The sequence below is a fragment of the Homo sapiens genome, chromosome 2, assembly GCF_000001405.40.
Source record: "Homo sapiens chromosome 2, GRCh38.p14 Primary Assembly".
Lineage (NCBI taxonomy): Eukaryota > Metazoa > Chordata > Mammalia > Primates > Hominidae > Homo > Homo sapiens.
This window is the reverse complement of record NC_000002.12, coordinates 128363821-128386324: the sequence shown is the minus strand read 5'-3', so window position 1 is coordinate 128386324 and position 22504 is coordinate 128363821. Positions and strand designations below refer to the sequence as shown.

The following is a 22504-nucleotide window of genomic DNA, read 5'->3' as shown; positions in this document are numbered from 1 at the left end:
CAGCAGGAGTCAGATGCCCCTATCACTGCTGCCTGGGCGAAGTAGGGGGAAAAGCACCTTATCAGCTCCCACTTGCCACCGCTGGGGCGCCCAGATGGATCCTCGGAGGCAGCTGCTAAGCCTCCCTCTTGGGTGGATCCACGCCCTGCCTGCGGGCCTCTGCCTCTCCAGTACTCTTCCTCAGCCCCTGCAGCGTGCCGCTGTACGTCCAACCCTGCCTGCTCTCTTCTTGGCAGGGATTCCTTGCAATGTCTGGTGCCCTGAGGGTTCTCATGTTTGTTTTTGATCACGTTTGTGTATTTACTTAGTTTCCTTTTAAAATAATTTCTAGAGGGAGGAGCTTAAGTTCAGTCCACCATTTTGAAACAGAAGTTGAAAATTATTTCCATGGCAGACACTTAGTCCAAGAGCAGACAAAATGAGGTAAGACATCTCCAAGCACTTGGGGAAATGCAAAGGTATTACCCCTAGTTGATCCAAATTTTCTAATACATCACATCCTATTAAATGCAAAGTATTTCTCTTATCCAGCAACATGCAGGATGGAGGAAACGAGTCTCCAATCTGAAATGGAAAACACTATGTTTGGGGCTTGCTCTGGGGTCGTGGGGTGGAAGACTGTCCAGGCCATCCCTGGGCTCTGCTATGTACCTGGGGTGGGATGCCATCTCTCACATCCTGGCCCCAGAAAGATGACCACCACCACGAGCTGGGGGCTCCTGGAGCCTGGATTCTTAGCAACACAAATGGAGCTCAGTGGAAGCTACTGCCCAGTCAGGGACAGCAGAAGACAGAGCTTTATCTCCTGCCCCTTAACAGCCTGAGCGCCGTGCCCCGACCTGTGTGTGCACACACACGCATGCACACACACAGGCATTACCAACCCATTTCCCCAAGGCAAATAGTAACTTTGGAAATGTAGGGCATGCGGTAGGTCAGAAATGGATTGAGACAGATTCATTTAGATTAGATTAGACCAGATTCGATTAGAGACAGAGGGGAGGGAAGTTTGTTGTCCCATCTGCCCTCCATTGGCGGCCCGCCGTGGTTTCCAGAGGGTCTCAGGCACTGGTGGGCACTGGGCTTCCCAGCCTGTCGGAGGTCCACGTCCCTAACCCTCAGGACCCCAGCAGGCACTGGGGTCAAGTGTCAGGGGAGCCTGAGCATGACTCCTTCCTGGGTGTGGCCACCTGGCAAGCAGCCTCTGAAGCTCGGGTGGGCCAGAGGGCTATGATCACTCATGCGTCCACAGTACCTCCCGCCCAGGACCCCAGCAGAGGACATGAGCAGACCAGCTCTAGCCACGCAGTGCTGGGTCCATGGTGCAGCCTGGGTGTTTTAATAAGGACACAGCCACACCACAGAGGGATGAGGTCAGGATGTCCCCCTCTTACTCTGCAGCCATGATGTTAGAGCAGAGTCCGGGAGGGATGGTAAGAGAGAAGATGTATTGCTTGCCAAACCATTTCCCTTTCCTCTGGACGCCCAGGCAGATCACCTCGGCCTCCCTGCAGGCAGCGGGCCCAACAGAGTACTGTCCATACATGGGGCAGCCCTGAACCCTTCCCATACTGATCCTATCAGTCCTCACTGCTGCAGGGAAACTGCTGGGTGGAGACCATGGAAGAGCCCCTAGGGAAGGCCGGGTGCTGCCTTGAAGGAGACCTTCATGCCGATGAAAACGCCAGTTGGGAAGCAGAGAGTGGCTGGCGGGGTCCAGAGGCCTGAGCGAGGGAAATAGAGAGATGTTGGTGGAAGGGTATGAGCTTCCAGTTCAAAGATGAGCAAGAGGCTGGGCGCAGTGGCTCACGCCTGTAATCCCAGCACTTTGGGAAGCCAAAGCCAGCAGATCACCTGAGGTCAGGAGTTGGAGACCAGCCTGGCCAACATGGCGAAACCCTGTCTCTATTGAAAATACAAAAATTAGCCGGGCGTGGTGGTGTGCGCCTGTAATCTCAGCTACTCAGGATGCTGAGACAGGAGAATCGCTTGAACCCAGGAGCCAGAGTTTGCAATGAGCCGAGATCGCGCCACTGCACTACAGCCTGGGTGACAGAGCAAGACTGTGTCTCAAAAAAAAAAAAAAAAAAAGGTGAGTAAGGCCTGAGGATTGAATGTTCAGCATGATGACCACAGCTAATAAGCTAATAATGCTAATAATACTGCACTACATACTTGAATCTGCAAGACCTCAAGCTTTCTTTTTCTTTTCCTTTTTTTTTTTTTTTTGAGATGGAGTCTCACTCTGTCACCCAGTCTGGACTGCTGTAGCACAATCTCAGCTCACTGCAACCTCCACCTCCTGGGTTCAAGCAATTCTCCTGCCTCAGCCTCCTGAAGAGCTGGGATTATAGACGGTTTAACCCCATCTCTACTAAGACTACAAAATTAGCCGTGTGCAGTGGCATGTGCCTGTAGTCCCAGCTACTCAGGAGGTTGAGGCAGGAGAATTACTTGAACCCAGAAGGCAGAGGTTGCAGTGAGTTGAGATTGTGCCACTGCACTCCAGCCTGGGTGACAGACTGAGACTCCATCTCAAAAGAAAAAAGAAAGAAATTTAATATAATTTAAAGAAAATATATTAAAACACTGTTGACCCTTGAACAACACGGGAGTTAGGGATGCCAACCCCTCTAACAGTAAAAAATTTGTGTATAACTTTTGACTCCCCCGAAACTTAACTACAAATGCCCTATTGTTGACCAGGAGACTTACTGATAACACACACAGTCGATTCACACACATTTTCTATGTTCTGTGTATTACATACTCTATCCCTACAATAAAGTAAGCTAGAGAAAATCATAAAGAGAAAATATATTTATTATTCTTAAGTGGATGTGGATCATCATAAAGGTCTGCATCCTCACATCTTCACATTGAGTAGACTGAGGAGGAGAGGGGTTGGTCTTTGCTGTCTCAGGGGTGCAGACATGGAAAAAATCCTCATATAAATGAACTCATGTTGTTCAAGGGTCAACTGTATATTTTAAACAAAATCTTTTCGGCAATAAGAAAATGTACAATTTGAGGCCAGGCACAGTGGCTCACGCTTATAATCCCAACACTTTGGGAGGCTGAGGTGGGAGGATCACTTGAACCTAGGAGTTCAAGATCAGCCTGGGCAACACAGTGAGACCCCCATTGCTACAAAACATTTAAAAATTAGCTAAGCGTGGTGGCGCACACCTGTATTCCCAACTATTTGGGAGGTGGAAGTGGGAGGATCACTTGAGTCTGGCAGGTGGAGGCTGCAATGAGTTGTGATCACGCCACTGCACTCCAGCCTGGGTGACAGAGCAAAACCCTGTACCCTGTCTTAAAATAAAAAAGAAATGTACTGGCCAGCCATGGTGGCTCACGCTTGTAATCCCAGCACTTTGGGAGACCAAGGTGGGTGGATCACGAGGTCAGGAGTTCGAGACCAGCCTGACCAACATGGAGAAACCCTGTCTCTACTAAAAATACAAAATTAGCTGGGCGTGGTGGCTGGCACCTATAATCCCAGCTACTCAGGAGGCTGAGGCAGGAGAATCGCTTGAACCTGGGAGGTGGAGTTTGCAGTGAGCCGCGATCACGCCATTGCACTTCAGGGTGGGTGACAGAGCGAGACTCTGTCTCAAAAAAAAAAAGTACCATTTGAACGGAGTGTATAATAAATTGTTTAGCAGAGCAAGTAACACGTTTGTAAGCTACAATCAAGGATCTGGTGAAAGAGCACTTCCCCATGCCTGCCCCTCCAGGTTCTGTCTAGCAGTGCCCTATCCATGTACTCCCAGCCGAGAGTTGAGGCTCAGCTCTGGGCCTGACCCCAATCCCTCAGGATTCCCCCAGAAGCCCTCTCCTCGCCTCCACCAGCCCACAGAGGACCCCACCAAAACCTGTGCACAGGTGGCCCAGCCCTCACCCAGCACATGGTGTTGACCGAGCTTTTCTCACCTGTTTGCTCAGCTCAAACCACAGGGGCTCAGTGAGCTCACTCACCAGGCTTTTTGCTGCAGAAAAAAAAGCAACCTGAGATCCTAGTCCTAAAGAGCAGCAAGGGCTGAATGAGATGAGCGCTTCCTGTGCACCAGGCACTGTTGTAAGCACTTTACCTGCGTTAACTCATGCAGTCCCAAGAATCCCGTGTCCTTGATGAGGAAACTAAGGCACACAAAGGTCACCTGATGTGCTCAAGGGTACATCACAGTTAGTGAGAGGCGGAGTCCTGTCTGAATCCTGGTGCAGCCCAGGGTCTCACTCTGAAGGAAACTGGCCAGCCCCGGTCAGCATCAAGGAACTGTTTAAATCTCAGCTCCACCTGTAAGTAGCTATGCAGCCTATGGAAAGTTCCTTAGCCTCTCTGGACTCTCTGGTCCAGAGTGCAATGAAGCAGGGAAGATAATAGACACCTGGCAGGATTGTTATAGGAACTAAATCAAACAGCATCACGTGCAAACGCAGTTCAGTTCAGCATGGCATCACAGCAGCTTATTTAACCAGCACAGCAGGCATTTAGTGTAATTGCTTATGGTTTCCAAGTGGCAGCTGTTATCTGTGTCTAAGAGGTCTCCCCAGAGGGGCTCATGTGCTCAGAGCCTTTGGAGACCATCAGACACGGCCATCGCCCTCCCTAGGACCGGGCAGCAACAGCATGAGAGTCCTGGGTCCCTGGTTCCAAGGAGAGGGAAAGGGGGTGGGGGACCCTGAGATGTCACCGCAGGGAGGAAGGAGCCAGGTGGGGTGTCTCCAGCTGTCAGGCAGCTTCCAAACTTGTCCTCTTTCTTAATTCTCCTAACACCCCGTGAGTCTCATTCCACATCACAGATGAGGAACTGAGTTGCCTATGGTCACAAAGCTGAGGTAAAGACCTCTGCCCTGTCAGGGGCTCACAAGGCCAGCTGTGCCTGCGACGGGTCCACGCCCACTTCCGCTGGCCATCGCCCTCCCTGCTCACTCTGCATTCCTGCTCACAGGCTCCCAGGGCGCTGCAGTCCTGACCCCTGTGCTGACACTGCCCAGCCCTCCTCAGGCCTGGTCTCCAGACACTAGGGAGGATATGCAGGTCACATGTGCAGGGACACTCTGACAGGACCTCCCTGGACTCAGGGATCCACACAGGCCTGCACGAGTGTCTTCTGCCCCTAAGCTCAGCCATGGGGATGTCCAGCAGCCTGGGCGCCCGGCCTGGGCCAAGCTCATCCTCTCCTCCCCAGCTCACTTTCCGGTTCTGTGTCTGGGACTCCCTCTCTGCGGGGGTGAGCACCATCCCCATGGGAATCACCAATTTGCACTCATCCAGGACACACTCCCAGAACACAGTCAGGCCATGTGTCAGAGTCTAGGGCTCCACCATCCCCTCAGGGCCCTGACCTGTCTGAACTGGGGCTGGGCCTAAAACTGGGTGCTTGGACCCTCACACATATTTGGGACACCCACAGGATGAACTGGAGGGTGAGGGAGAGGAGCAGGGACCCACTGGTTCCCACACTCTGTGCCCAGAAAGGAGACTCATTGCACTGGGACCCAGGGCGGCAGGGTCGGTCAGAGTGAGAGACCAAGCTGGACTCTCAGGGTGACATTCACACACCCCAAGGAGGGGGCGGCTCCCCTTTGCACACGTGCCCTGATGTATGCAGTGGGTCGGGGTCCCTGGCACCAGCCAGACTCCACAGCTCTCAGAACGCTGTTGGGGTAGAAAGGACCCCCAGACTGTTCCAGAGAGAAGGCAGAAGCCTGGGCCGGGCTCCAGAGAGCTGATGGTGGCCTGGCGGGTTCCTCACTGACAGGCAGGGATCCCTGGTGTCTGCAATATCATCTTACCATGCATGACATCTTCACCCCCGGCTACCAAGGCTGTGGGGCTCACAGATCCCCTCCCTCAGGAGCCGCTGCAGCACGGAGTCATGGCCAGGCTCTCCACCATGGCAGACTAGGCTCAGTGGGCCAGACTCCCCAGGCAGGGACTCTCGGATGGCAGCCCTCACGACCTGCAGCTCCACCAGTGTCAGGAGCAAGGGTGTGAGATGAAGGGAGAACAGGAGCTGCCACATCCGGGGAGGTCGGGAGGCACTCCCAGGGGGCGGGAGCCTGGGGACGCTGAGGTGGCACTCAGCCGCCAAGGTGGAGTGTGCAACTCATAGCCATGCGAGGTTCACAGCGACAGCACTCATGCCTCACCCCAGCAGGCTCGCCTCCAGGAACCTCATCTAAGAGGCGATTACATGCTCGGGTCTTGAAGCGGCCGGAGCCCCCAGCAGCAGGAGGCGGGTCGGTGCACAACAGTGGATCCCTAAGGCGCAATATCACAGGGCTTTAAAGTGTGTGTGGATGAGTTTTTAATGACACTGACCAGTGCTCTCTGCAGTGCCCCCTTCTCCTCGCCACATCCCTTTTCCCCTGCGAGCTGCATGGGGCTCCTAGCTGTTTGGGAGCAAGACCTGAGCAAGACAGAGGAAACCAGAGGGTCTGGATTGAGGCCCCAGTGAGTCACACTCACCAGGGGTCCCTGGACACCTCTCTATGATGTCTGCCTTCCTGGAGAAACTGAGCCCCGAGCTGTTGCTCCTGCAAGTTCAGGGAGGCGTTGCCAGCGTGAGGAGGAAGGCTTTCCAGGGCTCCGGCCACCCCTCAGTGTAGCCACTGAAGGCAAACACTTACCCACAATGTGCTATGCGGGCTCCGGCCCAGCCTGGGATGTCCACAGGCCCTGACGACGAGGCTTTGAACTAAGGCAGAGAGAGCAAGGCCTCAACCACCAAGCCCTTCAAAGGCTGGTGGGAAGTGCTCTCTGTTAATTCCAACCACATGGCAAATTAAGTTCTATTTAGCCCCTTTCCAAAATATTTTCCTCTCTTGATGTAAGGAAAGCTGGAGCTGTGCCATCGTTCAGACAGGCTGGGTCCAGCCCAGGGAAGGGAGAGCCAGCGCCCGCACCCATGGAAGCGCAGCCTCTCCCCCACGGAGCTGGCTGCTGGCTGCAGACAGGCCCGTGCAGACAGCTGGAGGAGTGAATGGACAGGAGGGAGGCGAGAGGGGGGAAGGATGATAACGTGGGTAAACGAGAGGGCGGGGAGAGTGCAAGCTTGCTTTGTTTACAGCTTCAAATCCGACAGGATTGTTTCTTTGAACACTTCAATTAAGACCACAATGTTCTTTGGCCCTGGTAGCTTTGTTCTGCCTTTCCTCCTCCCCCATCTTCCTGGAATGTGTGGGCTGGAGAGAGGAACATAAAGGGAAACAAAAGGAAAGAGTTGTCCTGTCCACTGAAGCCCGAGGTTGGGCAAGGCCCCTACATAATGCACAGAGGACACCCACAACCAGCCTTCAGCATCTGGGGTGACCTGCTCCAAACACCTCTCCGCTCGGGTGCCCAGCCCCACCCCTCCCCTGGAGCAAGGGACAGTCCCAGTCCACATCTCACTTGCTCCTCAGCAGCAGTGGACAAGCTGGACCCTTCCTCCTCCTGGAAGTGAGCCACTCTTCAGCATCTAGAGAGCAGCTCCTCTCCTGCGAGCCCGTGCCAGCCAGCTGCTTGGGAAGGTGAGAAGCATGCCTCGCCGGCAGCCCCTCGCCCAAGATTGCAGCCCCTTCCAGAGCTGGTCTGCAGGCCCATGGCTGCCTGGTGAGCGGTCCAAAGGCCTAGCCCCTTGCATTCATGAGGCACAGCTCTGGGGGGCTGTCCCCACTCTCAGTGCCATAGGACCAGCCAAAGCCTCAGTTCAACTGCCCAGAGCCTCCCTCTGCCCAGCCCCACAGCCAGCTTCCCTGCAGAGATACCTTCTGAAATCACCCCACCCAACTCTCCAGCTCTGCATCTGTTTCCAGGAAACCCATCCTAGGACAGTCAGCTCTGGCAGCGGACCTGGGAGGCCGACTCCAAAGGCAGATGTTGGAGCCGGCTCTCTGACCAGCCCGGGGGCAATGGAGACCCGCCACTCCTGGGAGATGGAGACTGGAGAGCTCTGGGTGCTGCCAAGGCATAAAAGGTGAATCATGCCCATGGTGAGCAGGGCCGGGAGACCTGCAGAGGAGGACGCAGGGGCCAGGGCAGCATCGCTGGCCCTGAGAGAAGTAGTCACATAGGACCAGGGAACTGGACAGCACTTGGCTGAGGTCACCAATTCACTGAAAATGAAAACAGGCTTAGGGTGATCAATGACCCATTCAAGGCACAAGGTGAAATCTCAGGGGCCTCCTTGACAGCACTGAGGGAAGCCCTAATCTGAGCCAAGGACAGAGAGCAGAGAGTGAGCTCAGGACCCGACTGCACAAGCACCACGCTTCAGAAAAAATGGAATTCTAGCCCAGGCATACTCCCCACAACACATTCAGGGCTCCAATGTGCAAAGAATGGGACTCGAGGCCAGGGATGTGGAGACTTAGAGGTGCAACTCCTAGATCCTGGAATCCGCCAAGAGGAGAGGGCAGGGCAGCCCCCTCCCCTATGAAGAGACAGTGCCCCACCTGACTGAAGAGCCTGCAGCGGCTCAAATGAGGCAGGTTCCAGGCGGTGCCAGAGGAGACAAGTGCCCCCTCCCTCCTACAACCAGTATCACAGCTGGCACACCCCAGTGGGAAGGTGCTGGTCTGTGAGAGGAAGAACAAGATCACCTCCCTGTGTTCCCAGAGGGCTGCAAGGCTAGGGGAGATGCCGTAGCAGGGGAATACATGCCCATTTGGGGGTGCCGCATCATGGTTCAGAGCCACGGGTAAGGAAGGAAGTGCTGGCATGGAGGGCTTTAGCCTCCTGAAAGGACCCGGGTTACAGAGCTCATGCTTATGGCTCCTGGCTCCTGCAAGCTTGCAAGAAGCGAGGGCCTGTGAGAAGTGGAAATGCCAGCATTACCACAGCAGACAGCAGAGGCACAGCAGAGGCTCTCAGAAGTGGGCCTGCTTGAGCAGATGGGCTGCATAGGAAGGAAACCCACCATATTCCATGTTCCCAGGAAGGGCAGGGGGATGTCCCGCACCCCCATAAGAAGGCCCCAGTGGTGAGTGGCGCACTCTTGGAGGCCCTCGCAGGTTGGGCTGATGGCAGGAGACGCTGCTGCAGACCTCGGCTGTGAGCAGCAGGGGCAAGGACAGGAGCCCAACCTGGCGGAGGCCAGGTGGCAGTGCCACAGCCAGAAGCAGGCATAAGTGCATGATGAGGAACAAGAGCTGAGTGGCCAGCGAGTGCCGAGAGCCAGGCAATCGCTTAAGGTCTGCCATCAGAATAAATCAAGGTTGGAGGACACAATGGTTTGAACATGTCCCCTCCAAAGTGCAGATATTGCCAGTAAGCTTGAACCTGTCAAGAGGTGGAGCCTTTAAGAGGTGACCAGGCTGGGGGGCTCCTCCCCCTCGAGTGGGGTTAACTGTGCTTATGAAAGGGCTTGACTCTCCCACCTTCTGCTGCAGGGGACACAGCGTGCCTCGCCTCCGGATGACTCAGCACCAGGCGCCATCCTGGAAGTGGCGAGCAGCCCTCACCAGGCTCCCAACCTGCCAGCCCCTTGATCCTGGACTTCCAGCCTCCAGAGCTGCCAGAGGAGACCTGTCTGTTCCTCATCAGTTACCCATCCTTGGGTGTTTTGTTGTAGCGACACTAAGCGACTGAGACAGACAGCCAGGACACTGAGGGCAAAGGCGCTCTAGAAAGCCAGTGGGTCCCTCGCCTGGTGTCAGGTGCTAAGGCACCGGCCAGAGGAGAGGGCGGTCCCTGGGAGGAAGGCCCTGCAACCTCATGGCAAGGATGGCCAGTCACGTTCCTGGGTCCTTCCCCAAAGGGGCAGCAGTGTGCCGGAGAAACAGGAAGGCCCAGGCCCCTCCAGGACTGTTGAGGGTGATCCTGAGCACCTGAAGTGCCCCAGGCCCAGAGTAGCAGGGCTCTTCATCTTCCTGGAGGGTGAGTCAGGCCTCCCCGCCCTGGCCCACTTGCCCATGGGTCCTCATCCATGTGGGATGAAGTCTGAAGACATCACTGGGCCCTCCCAGCACCCCAGCCCAGGGCAGGACTGCGTGAGTGATAAATAAAGACGCCCTGGACCACCCTTGATGAAGGCCAGCTCCCTCCCACCTTCTGGACTGCCACCTCCCCACTCTGCACCTTCACCCCCTCTCAAGAACCACAGCCTCTAGGGCCCACCTCTCTGCTTCTGAGGAAAGCATTAGGGTGGGGACGTAGATGGTCCCACCACTTGCATTGTAAAAGACACACAGAGGGCAATGCTGTAGTCTAAGAAAAGATTTTCTAATGGTGGAGTTTCTGGCAAAAAGGCATGGCCATCATGAGGCAGTTAGTGCTGTTGGGCAAAGAATTGCTTCCATATTTGTCTCAAAGCATTAAAATGGGCACCAAATCAATATTTCTTTAATAAAAAACACAAAAATCTTGGCCTATGCTCTCCCAACACACCCTGAGCATGTCTCTAGCATCACTAGAATGCTAGAGGCATTTGACTGCATCTTGCCTGTTACCTGTTAACTTCTTGCTTCCCTCCCTCAATTGTGAGCTCACTGAGGGCAGGGATAGGACTGAAGTATCCTCTGAATCTTTAACCTCAGGCGCTTAGGGACAGGGGGATGGGACGGAGATGTGGCAGGCAGAGTCCAGCCTCCCCAGAGCCACCTCCCAGCCCTGCGCATGTGCTTGGCAAGTCCCTGATGGGAGCCCAGGCAAGGCTGGGGCTTGTGCGTGTCTCCCCTGCCAGGCTGTGAGCACCCGGGCAGGCTTGTCCAGGCCAGCCCAGCTGCTGCCTGACACCAGCCCAGGTCCTGGCCCCCAGAGAGTGCCTGGTGAAGTCTGTCTGGCTGAGGTCCGACACAAGGGGGTAAGGAATTATTTCCTTCCCTGAGGCTTCATTTTGAAAATAAATTTAGTAACTTCTAAACAAATCGTACTGACTCTCCCAGTTGTATTTGTTTAGTTAAATTAATTCTATTTTAATATTTCCATTAGCCATTTAATTTATTCTAAAACCTGGCACTGCAAAGTAATAAAACCTCTCAAATATTGACAGACAGAAAGTAAATGTCGCCCAGCTACAACCATCTGTTTTTCCTCCAAATTCCTCAAGATGGAGAGTGCGCCGCCGTGCTTGATTTACGGCCTTCCTGGGCCCATGCACGGCTCGCTGGCAGCCTCCTGAGCCAGCGCTGCTGGGGGCGACACTCTGGACTCAACAGGGTGAGAGGGGAGGGAGGGGAGGGTATGGGGTGCAGTGAGAAAGTCTACAGGGCAAACAGAAATGGAGTCCCAGCTTTAAAATGGATAAGCTGGATGAAATGCAAAAGCTCGCTGCTTTCCTGCCACCCTCCCCAGCGCCAGCTGCCCTGCGATGTCCCTGGCATGCCAGCCCAGAAGCCACATACACCACCTCCCCTGCACCACCTGTGCCTCCACCCCCTCTCCCCCACCCACCTACCCTGCTCCTTGGATGACAGACAGGCGCCCTCCTTCCTGGCAGTCCAGCCAGGGGCGGGGGCACCCCCTTAGAAGAGGGTCTCCAGGACCGATGGCTCGGAGCCCCTCTACTGTGCATGGTTCCTGAGGGTATGCACTATCACGGGGGGTGACGGAGCCTGGCTCCACGGTCAGCTCCTCTTCAGCCAGGTGTGGTATGATCTGAGGGAAAGTCTCCAGGCTGGACAAGAGACACAGCCAGGTGTGAACCTTGGTCCCACCTCTCCTGACCTGTGGGAGCTTCCACTTCCCCTCTGAGCAGAGCAGCAAGTGGACGGGATTCCCCACAGGGGTGCCGAGTGGGTACATCTGCCCCATGCCCAGCCCTGTGCCTAGCTGGGCCTAGCCCATAACCAGTACCCATCATCTCCTGGAAGAAAAGCTTTCACCTGGGCCTCTGCTGTCAGGTTAGACTTCCCCCAAAAGCAGAGAGCCAGAGAGGGAGGCCACACAGCCCCACCCCAGCACTCCCCACCCATCAGCGCATTTCAGTGTGACATGTGTTTACACGGCACGCATGCTTACAATTCCTCTCCAACCACCACTCAAAGCCTAGGCAGCCACAAATATTCCACAGTGCTTGTCGGGGCCCAGCAGCCCCAGCCTGCCCTGCCTGCACCTCCCTCACTGCCCTTGGTGCTCCTGCTGCCTCTGCCCGCAGCCCTGCCGCAGCGCTGCCCACTGCTAGGGGAGGCCAGGCACCACCCAAGCACTCTGTGGGCCCTGCTGGAGTCTGTGCAGTGGATGGAGGGCCAGACAATGCGTGTGTCCAAGTGTGTGTCAGCCCCACAGCTTGCTCCAGCGACACCGAGACGCCTCAAGGAGCTCAGGGCCCTGTGGGAGACACACCAGCGAATGAGGAAATGTACCAGCATGCCCGGGGGCAGCAGTGGGGTCTGCAAGAACCCAGCAGGGCACAAAAGGTGGGCACCCGGCCTGCCAGGAGGACCAGGAGAGGGTTCCGAGAGAAGTGTAGCACCAGGATGAGCTCTTCAGATTACGAAGTCCTCCAGGAAGAGAGGGTGGTGTGAGTGAAGGGTCAGGGGACAGAGCAGTCTCCCCAGTTCAGTGCACCCCACAGCTTGCTTGGCTGCAGCAGAAGGTGTGAGAAGACAGGGAGAATGGAAAGGCCAAGACCTGCAGCTGGGAAGGGAGCACAGGCTTCACCCTGAGGGCAGTGGGGATCCACAGCAGGCTTTAGCCTCCAGGAGGAACGTGCTCCAACTTGAATCTGAGACACATCCCTGGGACAGCCGTGGAGGACTGGAGGAACCCAGCCTAGGAGGAAATCCTGAAGACAGTGGGAAAGAGCAAGCTCGGGAAGGCCCTGGAAAACTCTTTCCAAATTCCTGCCCGTGGCTTGGGCAGGGTCTCAAGGAGGTGCGTTGAACAGCCGGTAGGTACCGTGCAGATTGGCAGGGGCTGTGTGTGTGTGGGGTGGGGGTGGGGTGGGGTGGGGGGGGTGACGCCTTTGGCACAGGAGCAGCCCCAGGAGGGCCTTGGTGGAAGTTGCTGAAGGGAACTGGACTCAGGTAAGGCCTCTGGCATCGCATCCAATAAAGGAACATTGAGCAACTGCTATGCAGACCACCGCTCTGCACATGCTCACTCAGGGCTCCCCCCGGAACTGGGAAATGGGACAGGAATCTAAGAATTACACACAGTGCAAAGGACAATTCTGGGGGTGCAGCCAAAGGGGACAGCGGCAGGGGGTGAGTGATTCCAGGCCCTTCCTTTCACTAGAACCCTAGAGCCTTCCTGGGCCCCCAGTCCCCACAGCCTTACCCGATACCCACAGAGACCTGAGGAGCAAGTGGCTCCTCCCGCCCTGGCTTCCCCTAACCCCACACCAGCGGACAAAAACTGCCGGATGTCAGACAGGAACAGGACCCCCAACACGGCCGCGGTGCCACCGCAGGGTCCCACCGCAGCCCTCATTTACCTTCTTCAAGCTTCAAGGTAGCCATAGGTGTGAAACCACAGAACAGACTGCACAGATGAGGGGAAGGAAGCAAGAGAAATGACGTTCCCATGCAAGAACGCAGGGCGCAGGGCGGCAGGCAGCTGCAGCCCAGGTGAGCGGGGCGACACACACACTCTACCCACCATGGCTCACTCCCAGCCACATGGACCTTAGTCCTGAAGCCCCAGCCTGCTGCATCCAGGCCCCTGCAGCACGTGCAGCACACAGACACGCGCGTCCCCTCGGCACGCTGTGCCCCATCTCCCCATGAAGACTCCATGGCCCTCTCCCATTTCTTAACTACATATTTGAGTCTTCACTTATCCCAACAGGTTCTGCTGACATTCTGGGAATTAATGAAGCTGGGTGCAGCCTGCCAACCTCACAGCTCCAGAGGAGGAAAAAGGGAGTTGTGTGTTCACAGCCAAAAGAGGAGCTCATAAATTCTCATAAAATTACTAGATGTGTGTAATTTATGGCCAAGGCCGGACACTCCAAGCCCCCAAAGAGCAGAGCAATGGCTGCAAGGAGGCATCATGGGAGAATGGCCACCATGTGCTCTGCCATGCTCTGAAGGACAGCAGGGAGGTGGCAAGTGATGGGAAAGGGGCCCAGGAAGCAGCATCCAGAAAGACCAGGCAAAGGCAGTGCTTATTCCATTCTTGTGCCAAGCTATCCTTGAGCATCAGACAGAGTGAGCACCTGAGCAGACGGCCGGCTGGGAACGCCGCGGGGGCCCTCCTCAGCCGCCAAGTGAGAAACACCCAAGGTTGGCCCCCAGCACACTGGAGCCCCTGGAGACAGCATGGCCCTCCCTGCTGCTGGCAGAAATCAAAGGTGCCTTGAGACAGTGACATCACCAAGGCTGGGCCGGATGACCCTGCTGCAGGGTAGCTACTAATACTCAGGTGACAAACACCACATTAGCCACCCAGCACCTGCATCTTCACGCACCTTGTGTGCCCGCTACTCACAAGCATACACAGACCAAGATGCTCCCCCCACCCAGCCAAAAAACAGAAAAGCTCTGCAGGTGTCTTAGGACCTATTACTCAACGATGCCCTGAACCTTTGGTGTACCCATTTTCAGTTGACACAGGTCTGAGCAGCTGTGACCTTCCCAAGGCCACACAGGTAGTCAGTGCCAGAAGTCAGTTTCAGATTCAGATCTCACATCCCCTCATTGTCCCCCAGCTGTGTCTCCTTACACCCATGACAATCAGAGGCAGCCGTGTCTATGTCATTGTCATGCCTTTAACTAACACACAAGACCCTGTATATAGTTTCTTGCTACATATATTTTTAAAGATAATGAAGAACTATATGTGTCCACTGTATATGAGAAGACAAAGCGCCAGTGGAGAGCAGATGACTCCCCTCCTCCCATGGGCGTACAGCCACAGGTGCCCAGAGGCCTGGGAGGAAGCCTGCCCAGGCATGAGGGGACGTTTCCAGATCCCCGGCCCCGCCAGGCTGTGAATTTATCTGCAGGCCCTGGCCCGCCAGGCTTTTGGGGGAGCTTTTCAGGACCAGCACTCTAGGCCAGTCCTGGAGCCATCCCTGGAGGGGCCACGGCCATCGTGGGAAGGACACCAGGCCAGGGAAATGGGGACTCTGATGTGGGCCCCAAAGAGCTGCCCTCTGCTGAGAGGCTGTTATTTCCTGACAAGTGCACCTCCCAGAACAACTTCACTGTTAGGATGAAAAGCCGTCTTGGAGCAGGGAGAAAGGGATGCCCCACGGAGGTGACTCCAAGTTTCCCTGGTCGAGTGGAGCAGGCAGCCCAACCCTATCCATCTGCCCTCCTGCCAGGCCATCCCAAGAACTCTGAGGACAGTTGAGGTCACAGACAGTTTAGGAACAGAAGAGGCAGGGTGGAGGGACCAGAGAAGGAGGACGGTGAGCTTGGCCGGGGCAGCCGCACAGCGATGTGACCGTGTGGCCTGTGGTGAGCTGGGGTGGTGGGCGGCCCCGGGCCGCTGTGTGCAGCTGAGCAGGCAGAGAGCTTGTCCACCACCCTGCCCCGCCACCTGCGCATCGGGCCTTGAGACCAGCAAGCCCACCACTGCCATGCAAGTCACAGGAGGTGCAGTCACCGGGCTGGGGGCCACCTGGGAGGCCAACCAGGCCACAGGCCGGTGCAGAAAAAGAAGATTCAATCCTGAGGGGGTAAGAGGTGAGGGCTTGAGGTCACCAGACTCAGGTTCAAGCCTGACCTGAGTCTTGACCACAGAACCTCGGGCAAGCAGCTCCAGCTCCCTGAGATTCGTTTTCCTCATCCATCCGCGGGAACTGAGGATTCCTGTCCAGCAGTACAATGGAATGAAATGAGATCACGTGTTTGCCAATGAGACATGTAGATAATATTGCAACTGCTGGGGCCTGACGGCTGCATGGGCGGGGCACTGTGCCATCTCGGATGGGCCTCGAGCCTCCTGTATAAAGGCAGCGTGATGGTCATTCCCGTTTTACAGATGAGATGACTGAAGCTCACAGAGGGAAGGAAGTAGCCCAAGCCCACGGGGCTAGGAAGTGGCCATCAGGCCCAGAATGTGGGTCTACCTGGCTCCAAGGAGCCAGCCCTTCCTCAGACCCCAGCCCCTCCTGGAGGAGGAGCCTATAGATTCCAGTCTCTCCCTGCAGAGATCAGAAATGGAGGCATTTTCAATGTGCAAATTTTCCTTCCCTGAGATTCTGGGAGACTCTTCCAAAACTGCAACAGCACAGACAGGAGGCTGGAAGAGACGTGTCCTGCTCTGGGGTGGGGGCGTCCATCCCCCTGTTTACGGGGAGTCCCTCTGCACCCCTTGGCCTCCTCCACAGGGACGGTCTGAATGGTGGCAGGAAGGTAAATGTTTCGTCATTCAGAGACGCCTCCCGCCAGACAGATTAGCTAGGCTCTGGCCTCTGGCCACCCCTGACCTTACATGTCACCTTGGAGGGTGACCCAAGCTCTCCACTCTCCTCCTTCTCAGGGTCAGGAATGGTATTGTTTTTGCAAAGAACAGCTTCAGAAGCTCCCTCAGTCTGGGCAGGAATTAAATCACAAGTGTCCCAGGGCAGGGACAGCCACAGGCTCAATGTCCCCATCAATCTTCCCACGGGGCATTGCAGGCTCCGGCTGAGAAGGATTTACGGGGTGGGAGGGGTGTGGGACAATGCCTGCCCCTCCCAGGCCCTGCCGGCAGGCTTTTCCCACGGTTGGCTCCGACCAGGCCCTAATGGATGGGTCAGAAAGGTCAGCTCATGGGGAGTTCGCTCCTGTGTGCCAGAGGTTGCCCCCACAGTCAGTTCGGGCTGGGGGCTTACCACTGGCGTCACTTGCTCTTTATTCTCTTCTGTATTTTCCAAAGTCTCTGCAAAGAGCATGTATTACTTTTAAAATCAAAGGAGGAGAGGAAACAATAACATTGTTTTGTTTTGTCTTGTTTTGTTTATAAGCGTGTTTTTCTCCAGTGCTAAGAAATGGGCAGGCATCTCCCACCAGCCTGCAGGGAGTGCGGACACACGGCGGGGAGCCTGGACTTGTCTGATTTCCCAGGGAACCTACATAAAAAGCCCTTCTCGTTGGGAACAATGCTCTTGCTAAGTGCAGGCACGAACCTCCCCTAGAGAAACCCGAGCTGTGTCCGGATCCCAGCCCGGGAACCGCCCCCAAGGCTGGCGGCCACATTCAGCTGCAGTCCTGCACCCCACCCAATCCCCATCCATCTCTCTCCTCCCCACCAAGTCAGACAAGCTGGGGCCTGGCCCAGGGCTCTGACCTGAGCAGCCGGGCCAGCATCAGCACCATTTTGGTCAGAAAGTTCTGGGTGCTTGGACAAGGCCCTGGTGACCTGGGAGGAGGCAAGCGTGGGCCCCTACACATACCTCTCTACCTGCCCTCCTGCCTCCACAGAACCTTAGCGAGTCGCTTCACCTCTCCGCGCCTTGTTTCCCGTCTCTCATGGACATCATCCCATTTAGTGGAGCACACAGGAAAACCACTCAGGCAGGCCCTGGCTTGAAGGAAGCACCCATGTGTTAGCAGTTATGGCCATCCGTGCCACTAGTCTACCTGCAGCAAACAGGTCTAAGCCCCATCTGCACTGCTGTGCTTGAAGCAGCTGTGACAATGGACAATTGCTCCCTCGTGGCCACCTTAAAGGCAACCTGCGATTCAGTTGTAGCAAGGCAAGAATTATCCTCGCTGCATGAAACAAGGAAACTGACCAGCCCTGCCGCGCGGCAGTTCAGCGTCTCCAAAGGGCCTGCCCCTGCCAGGCAGGCTGCTGGGGCCTGAAGGATCCAATGAGTGGCTCCTGCCTGGCCGTGAGCAACCTCATGCTGTAAAACCTCAGTCGTTTTCCCCGAAGCAGCGTGTTGAGAAGGGTCCCCAGGCTGCCTGTCAGTGCAGCCTAAAAGTGCTCTGGGGTGGATGAGCGACGCCTGCCACAGGCACAGGCGGGCCCTAGTGTTATGAGTGCTAAGGCCATGCTTTTGCCAACCCTGCCACAGTGCATCAGATGCAAGGCTGGCTTCGGGTAGAGACACAAGTAGAACCCAGATCTCTTGACATCAGTGTGGTGGTCACAAGCATGGCACCACCAAAGCACCAGGAAGTTACTTGCCAAGTTTTCCTTTTGTATTTTGATGAAGACCTCACCATGTTTACACTGCTGCTGATAATTGGAAGCGGGACATGTGTTCCCCGTGTGCATAGCGCACCGGCCCTCCCGATGATCCTGACCTATCCCCAGATGTGACTGGTCCCTTCTCCCCAGGCACCCGTGGGAAGCCACACCCCTGCCCCATGCCCCTCCTGCCCCGGCCTTCCTCTGTAGGATGGTCACCCTAGACAGCCTTCATTCTCTCAGAATCTGGAGAGAGGGAGAGAAGACGCTTCTGAAGTTTCCCCTTCAGACACTTCTCATTTCCCCTCTGCACCCTCACAGTGCCCCCGTGGGCTTCCCAAACCCAGGGCCATCTCCCAGGGCCCACAGCCAGTCTTTCGGAACAACCAGCGCCCTGAGGACACCCACCCCTTCCTACCTCGAAGGCATGGAGCCCCTAGCCTCCCAGATGGGTGGGCAGATTGGCGGCGCCACCAAGGGCTCAGCCTTGTGCGTGCTGGCAATGGATCGACCACGGGCACGGAACCTGACGAAGACCAGCACTGCAACCAGCACAAGCTTCTTTGCCCAGCGCAGTCACTGAGTGCCCAGGCTGCCACTGTGTGCCGGCAGGCAGAGGCTGTTCCTCTCACAGGCTCTTGTCCTGCCTGTAAAGTGGGACTGCGAAGGTGGGCCAGCCTCCGGGCAGCCCCTGTGCAGGGCAGGCATCTTTGAGGCTGAGTGCTGTTATTCTTATTGTATTCATGCACCCGGCACCCAAGAAACGAGGCAGCTGGGGCTGCAGTAGGCTGAGGACACAACAACAATCTCAGAACCAGGAACCCGGAGTGGACCCCCACTTCCTGCACCCAGCAGGCAGCACACCCAGAAGATGCAGGGGGCAGAAGAGATGGGAGCCCAGGCCCTTCCCCACTGCCTTTGCTCAGCCTTTTCCTGGCGAGAGTCACTCAGGGACCTGGCAAAGGAAACAGGCATCTCAGGGCCTCATGGACACCGAGGGGGGCTGCAGCGAGGAGGGAAGACACAGCTGTCTCATTTGCAGGGCAGGACCCTAGCAGTGTCTGGTTGCCTAGCTGAAGGGTGCTGGGCCCAGGACCAGCCCTCACTGGCCCAAGCTCCCAGGCAGGTGTTCAGGGAGGTAGGGGGATGAGCACACACTCCTCTGGCTTCCCCAGTGCCTTTCCCCACATTGTCCCCCACCAAAGACAACACAGCTGGCGAGCTGATTCAGGCGGTGGGCTTCTCGGCCAGGCTCCTGGCCCTGGGGGCTGTGAGATGCAGCCTTCAGTCCCCAGCAGCCTGCTGCTAGGAGTGTGATCACCAGCCTTCTGGCCCTTTCCTGAGCTGGGAGAGGCTGTGCTCCACGGGACACAGGCCCTGAGGCTGCTATGAGGAAGAGAGTGCCAGGCCTCCCACTGCAGGGACACTCAATACTCCCTTGCAGTCCCCATTCATCCTGCCACTTCAGGCACCCAGGCATGTGCCCTGCCCCACCCTCGGATCTGTCTTTCCTGCCTATGAACCTAATGTGAACTAGAGCACAGAGTGTGAATGCCAGCTGTTACTTCTAAGAGCTCAGCTCATCACTCCTTGGAGGACAGGTGCCCGTTTCAAGGTATTTTCCCATCCATGTCTGCCTCTTCAACAACCCTGGGAGGCCATTTAAGGCCCATGTCTCTCTGTCACACCACAGGGTCCATCCCTCAAGGGGAACCCCCACAACCCAGCATGTCACCTGAGCCAACTCTGTCCCCTGCACTGCCTCGCTCAGGGGTGGTGCCCAGCAGATGTTGGGTGGATTGCATGAATAAACACAAATTGGTGGAGAGCCAGGATCTCAGTGAAAACACCTCCTTGCTGATACGGAATCCTTTTCACCAAAATGCAGTTTTACCCCCTTTTTTCCTTTCTTCTTCATGCAGAGAAATTTTCACCCCTGTCACTATGACCCATGGTGGGCAAAAGCAAGAGGAGGTCAGGTGACGAAATGGCCTTCATCTTCTCTGGGTGGGAAAGACACACGTGTGTGCCATGGGTTCAAGCCTCTTTCTTTCTTTCTTTCTTTTCTTTTTTTTTTTTTTTAGATGGAGTTTCGCTCTTGTTGCCCAGGCTGGAGTGCAATGGCGCGATCTCGGCTCACCACGACCTCCACCTCCCGGTGTCAAGCGATTCTCCTGCCTCAGCCTCCCGAGTAGCTGGGATTACAGACGTGCACGACCACACCCGGCTAATTTTGTATTTTTGGTAGAGATGGGGTTTCTCCATGTTGGTCAGGCTGGTTTCAAACTCCCGACTTCAGGTGATCCACCTACCTCGGCCTCTCAAAGTGCTGGGATTACAGATGTGAGCCACCACACCCAGCCTCAAGCCACTTTCTGCAGTAAAACCACTTGTGTTATCAACTGTGTTGTAACAAACTACCCAGAAATTAGCAGCTGAAAAAAATTCAAGTTCATTACCCCCCGGTTTCCACAAGTCAGGAACCTGAACTTGGCTCTGCTGGGAGCCCCTCACCAGGTCGGTCAGGAGGATGCAGTCAAGTTGTCAGCGGACTGCAGCCTCATCCGGAGGACCAGCTAAGGATCAGCCTCCAAGTGCTCCCCTGTGGCTTTGAGAGGCCTGATCCCTTGCTGTGTGGACTTCTCTGCAAGGTTCCTTTACAGCGTGGCAGCCAGCTTTCCCCCAGGATGAGTGACCTGACAGAGTGAGAGAAAGCACCCAGGACAGAAGCCACAACCTTCTCATAGTTGAATCTTGGAAGTGATGCCCCATTCCTCTGCCAGATTTTGTCCATCAGAAGTGAGTCAATGAGTCCAGCCCACAGTCAAGGGGAGGGGATCACACAAGGTATGAATAGAGCAGGGCAGCCTTGAGCCGGCCAGATCGTTCCCAAAACTGTCAGCCATAGCCTATCCCATTCCACGGGCTCTTCTAGAATCCCTGCCACTCAGCCATCAAGAGGTGGAGCCAGTGTCCCCACTCCTCGCACCTGAGGGAGCCACTGTGACTTTTCCACTCAATATCCCATGTGGAAGTGATGTGCTGCGCCCTCTAAGGCTTCCTGGTTTTCTGGAGATGCCCGCTCTTGGAACCGGCCTCCCTGCCTTAAAGAAGCCTATGAAGAGACCTGCGCTCACATGAGCTCCCAGGTGATGCCTGCAGCAGCCTGCCAAGCGAGTGTGTCCTTTTGGAAGAGACCCTCTGGCCCCGTCAGGGGGCTCGCAGTGACACCATGAGGGGCAGTCTCTGCCTAGCCAAGCCCAAATTGAAGATTCATGAGAAAAACAAATTCTTGTCATTTTAAACTTGTTACCCCATAATAATGTGGTTCCCACATGCTGTTCTCCCACTGTGAACCCCAGTCCACCAACCCACAGGCCAGGGGGGCAGGAAGGAGTGGCCATGTGGCATCCTACAGATGTGGCCCACAGGTGCTGCTGTGTCTCCAGCAAAGGCAAGGGAGCCCACTGGTGCAGGGGTAAGGTGTCTTCAAGGGTCTGGGGCCCTGGGAGTGTGGGCACTGGGCAGGGCAGTCACCAGGCTATAGCCTGGAGCCCAGCCCAGGGCCATGGGTGGGGGCAGTGTGGGGGTCTCATAACAGCTGCCCTGAGAGCATGTGCCCAGCTGGAGAGGGCAGGGCCTGGCACAGAATGCACACTTGATTTTGGCTGCAGACAACCCTCCCGGGCTCACCTGCAGGTGGAGAGGCGCCAGAGCCCCCACGCCGAGGGAGCTGCTCGGGGCCAACCCCATGGAGAGCGGCCATGTTCAAGTGGGGCCTGAGCCACATGGGACTCCAGCTCCCTGGCCGGGCCTGGAAGGAGCAAGAGGAGAAGGGCTCCTAGAGTGGTATTCCAGTTGGCGCCAGCCTGGCCCAGACACAGAGGATGGAGAGCATGGAGGCATAGAGGTACTGCAGGTCCCAGTCCTCTTCCTCCAAGCCTTCACTGCCCATTTCCCCATGGATGGGCGGAAAAACCAAGGTCAAGTTTCAGGAAGCCCCTCTCACAAAAGAACCTCTCACGCACTGCCCCCACGCAGCTGTCCATTGTTTCCATGAGAAAAACAAATTCTTGTCATTTTAAACTTGTTATCTGATAATGAGGCAGCTCCCCTCCAGCAGTGAATGCCAGTCCACCAACCCCCAGGCAAGGACGGGCAGGAAGGAGTGGAGATGCTGCTGTGTCTGCAGTGATGGCAAGACAGCCCGCTGGTGCAGGGGTGAGACGTCATCCCAGCCTCTCTCACTACCCATCTGCACAATGCGCACGCTCTGCAGAGACTTCGTGGAGGGAAACAGCCAATCTTACAAGGAAAATTGCAGCACGTGGTAAAGTCCAGGAAAGCTGCTACTCCCCTCACGCTCCAAGCCCTTGCAAAGGGGGCTCAGCAGGATAGGTGGGTGGCCAGCCGAAGAGGAGGAAATCCCTCACAGTGAGAAGGCAGGCACAGGCCCAGTGGTAGGGGCATCAGGCCACCAACCTGGGTTCAAGGCTCCTG

General features: G+C 56.1%; 1 long non-coding RNA gene across 1 annotated transcript, besides 4 other annotated features; it reads left to right on the top strand.

Annotated features, from left to right (window-relative positions):
* Positions 637-1136: an enhancer, noted in NCBI's record as "H3K4me1 hESC enhancer chr2:129142763-129143262 (GRCh37/hg19 assembly coordinates)". NCBI's record gives its function as "activates a minimal SCP1, AML or CMV promoter by ChIP-STARR-seq in primed H9 embryonic stem cells {active_cell/tissue: H9 hESC(primed)}" and the evidence as "EXISTENCE:reporter gene assay evidence [ECO:0000049][PMID:30033119]".
* Positions 7415-9539, top strand: LOC105373610 (uncharacterized). The gene is made up of 3 exons (XR_923317.3): positions 7415-7524; positions 7810-7970; positions 9385-9539. It is a non-coding gene; the product is annotated as an uncharacterized LOC105373610 (long non-coding RNA).
* Positions 10947-11821: an enhancer, noted in NCBI's record as "H3K4me1 hESC enhancer chr2:129132078-129132952 (GRCh37/hg19 assembly coordinates)". NCBI's record gives its function as "activates a minimal SCP1, AML or CMV promoter by ChIP-STARR-seq in naive H9 embryonic stem cells {active_cell/tissue: H9 hESC(naive)}" and the evidence as "EXISTENCE:reporter gene assay evidence [ECO:0000049][PMID:30033119]".
* Positions 17363-18204: an enhancer, noted in NCBI's record as "H3K4me1 hESC enhancer chr2:129125695-129126536 (GRCh37/hg19 assembly coordinates)". NCBI's record gives its function as "activates a minimal SCP1, AML or CMV promoter by ChIP-STARR-seq in primed H9 embryonic stem cells {active_cell/tissue: H9 hESC(primed)}" and the evidence as "EXISTENCE:reporter gene assay evidence [ECO:0000049][PMID:30033119]".
* Positions 18965-19655: an enhancer, noted in NCBI's record as "H3K4me1 hESC enhancer chr2:129124244-129124934 (GRCh37/hg19 assembly coordinates)". NCBI's record gives its function as "activates a minimal SCP1, AML or CMV promoter by ChIP-STARR-seq in primed H9 embryonic stem cells {active_cell/tissue: H9 hESC(primed)}" and the evidence as "EXISTENCE:reporter gene assay evidence [ECO:0000049][PMID:30033119]".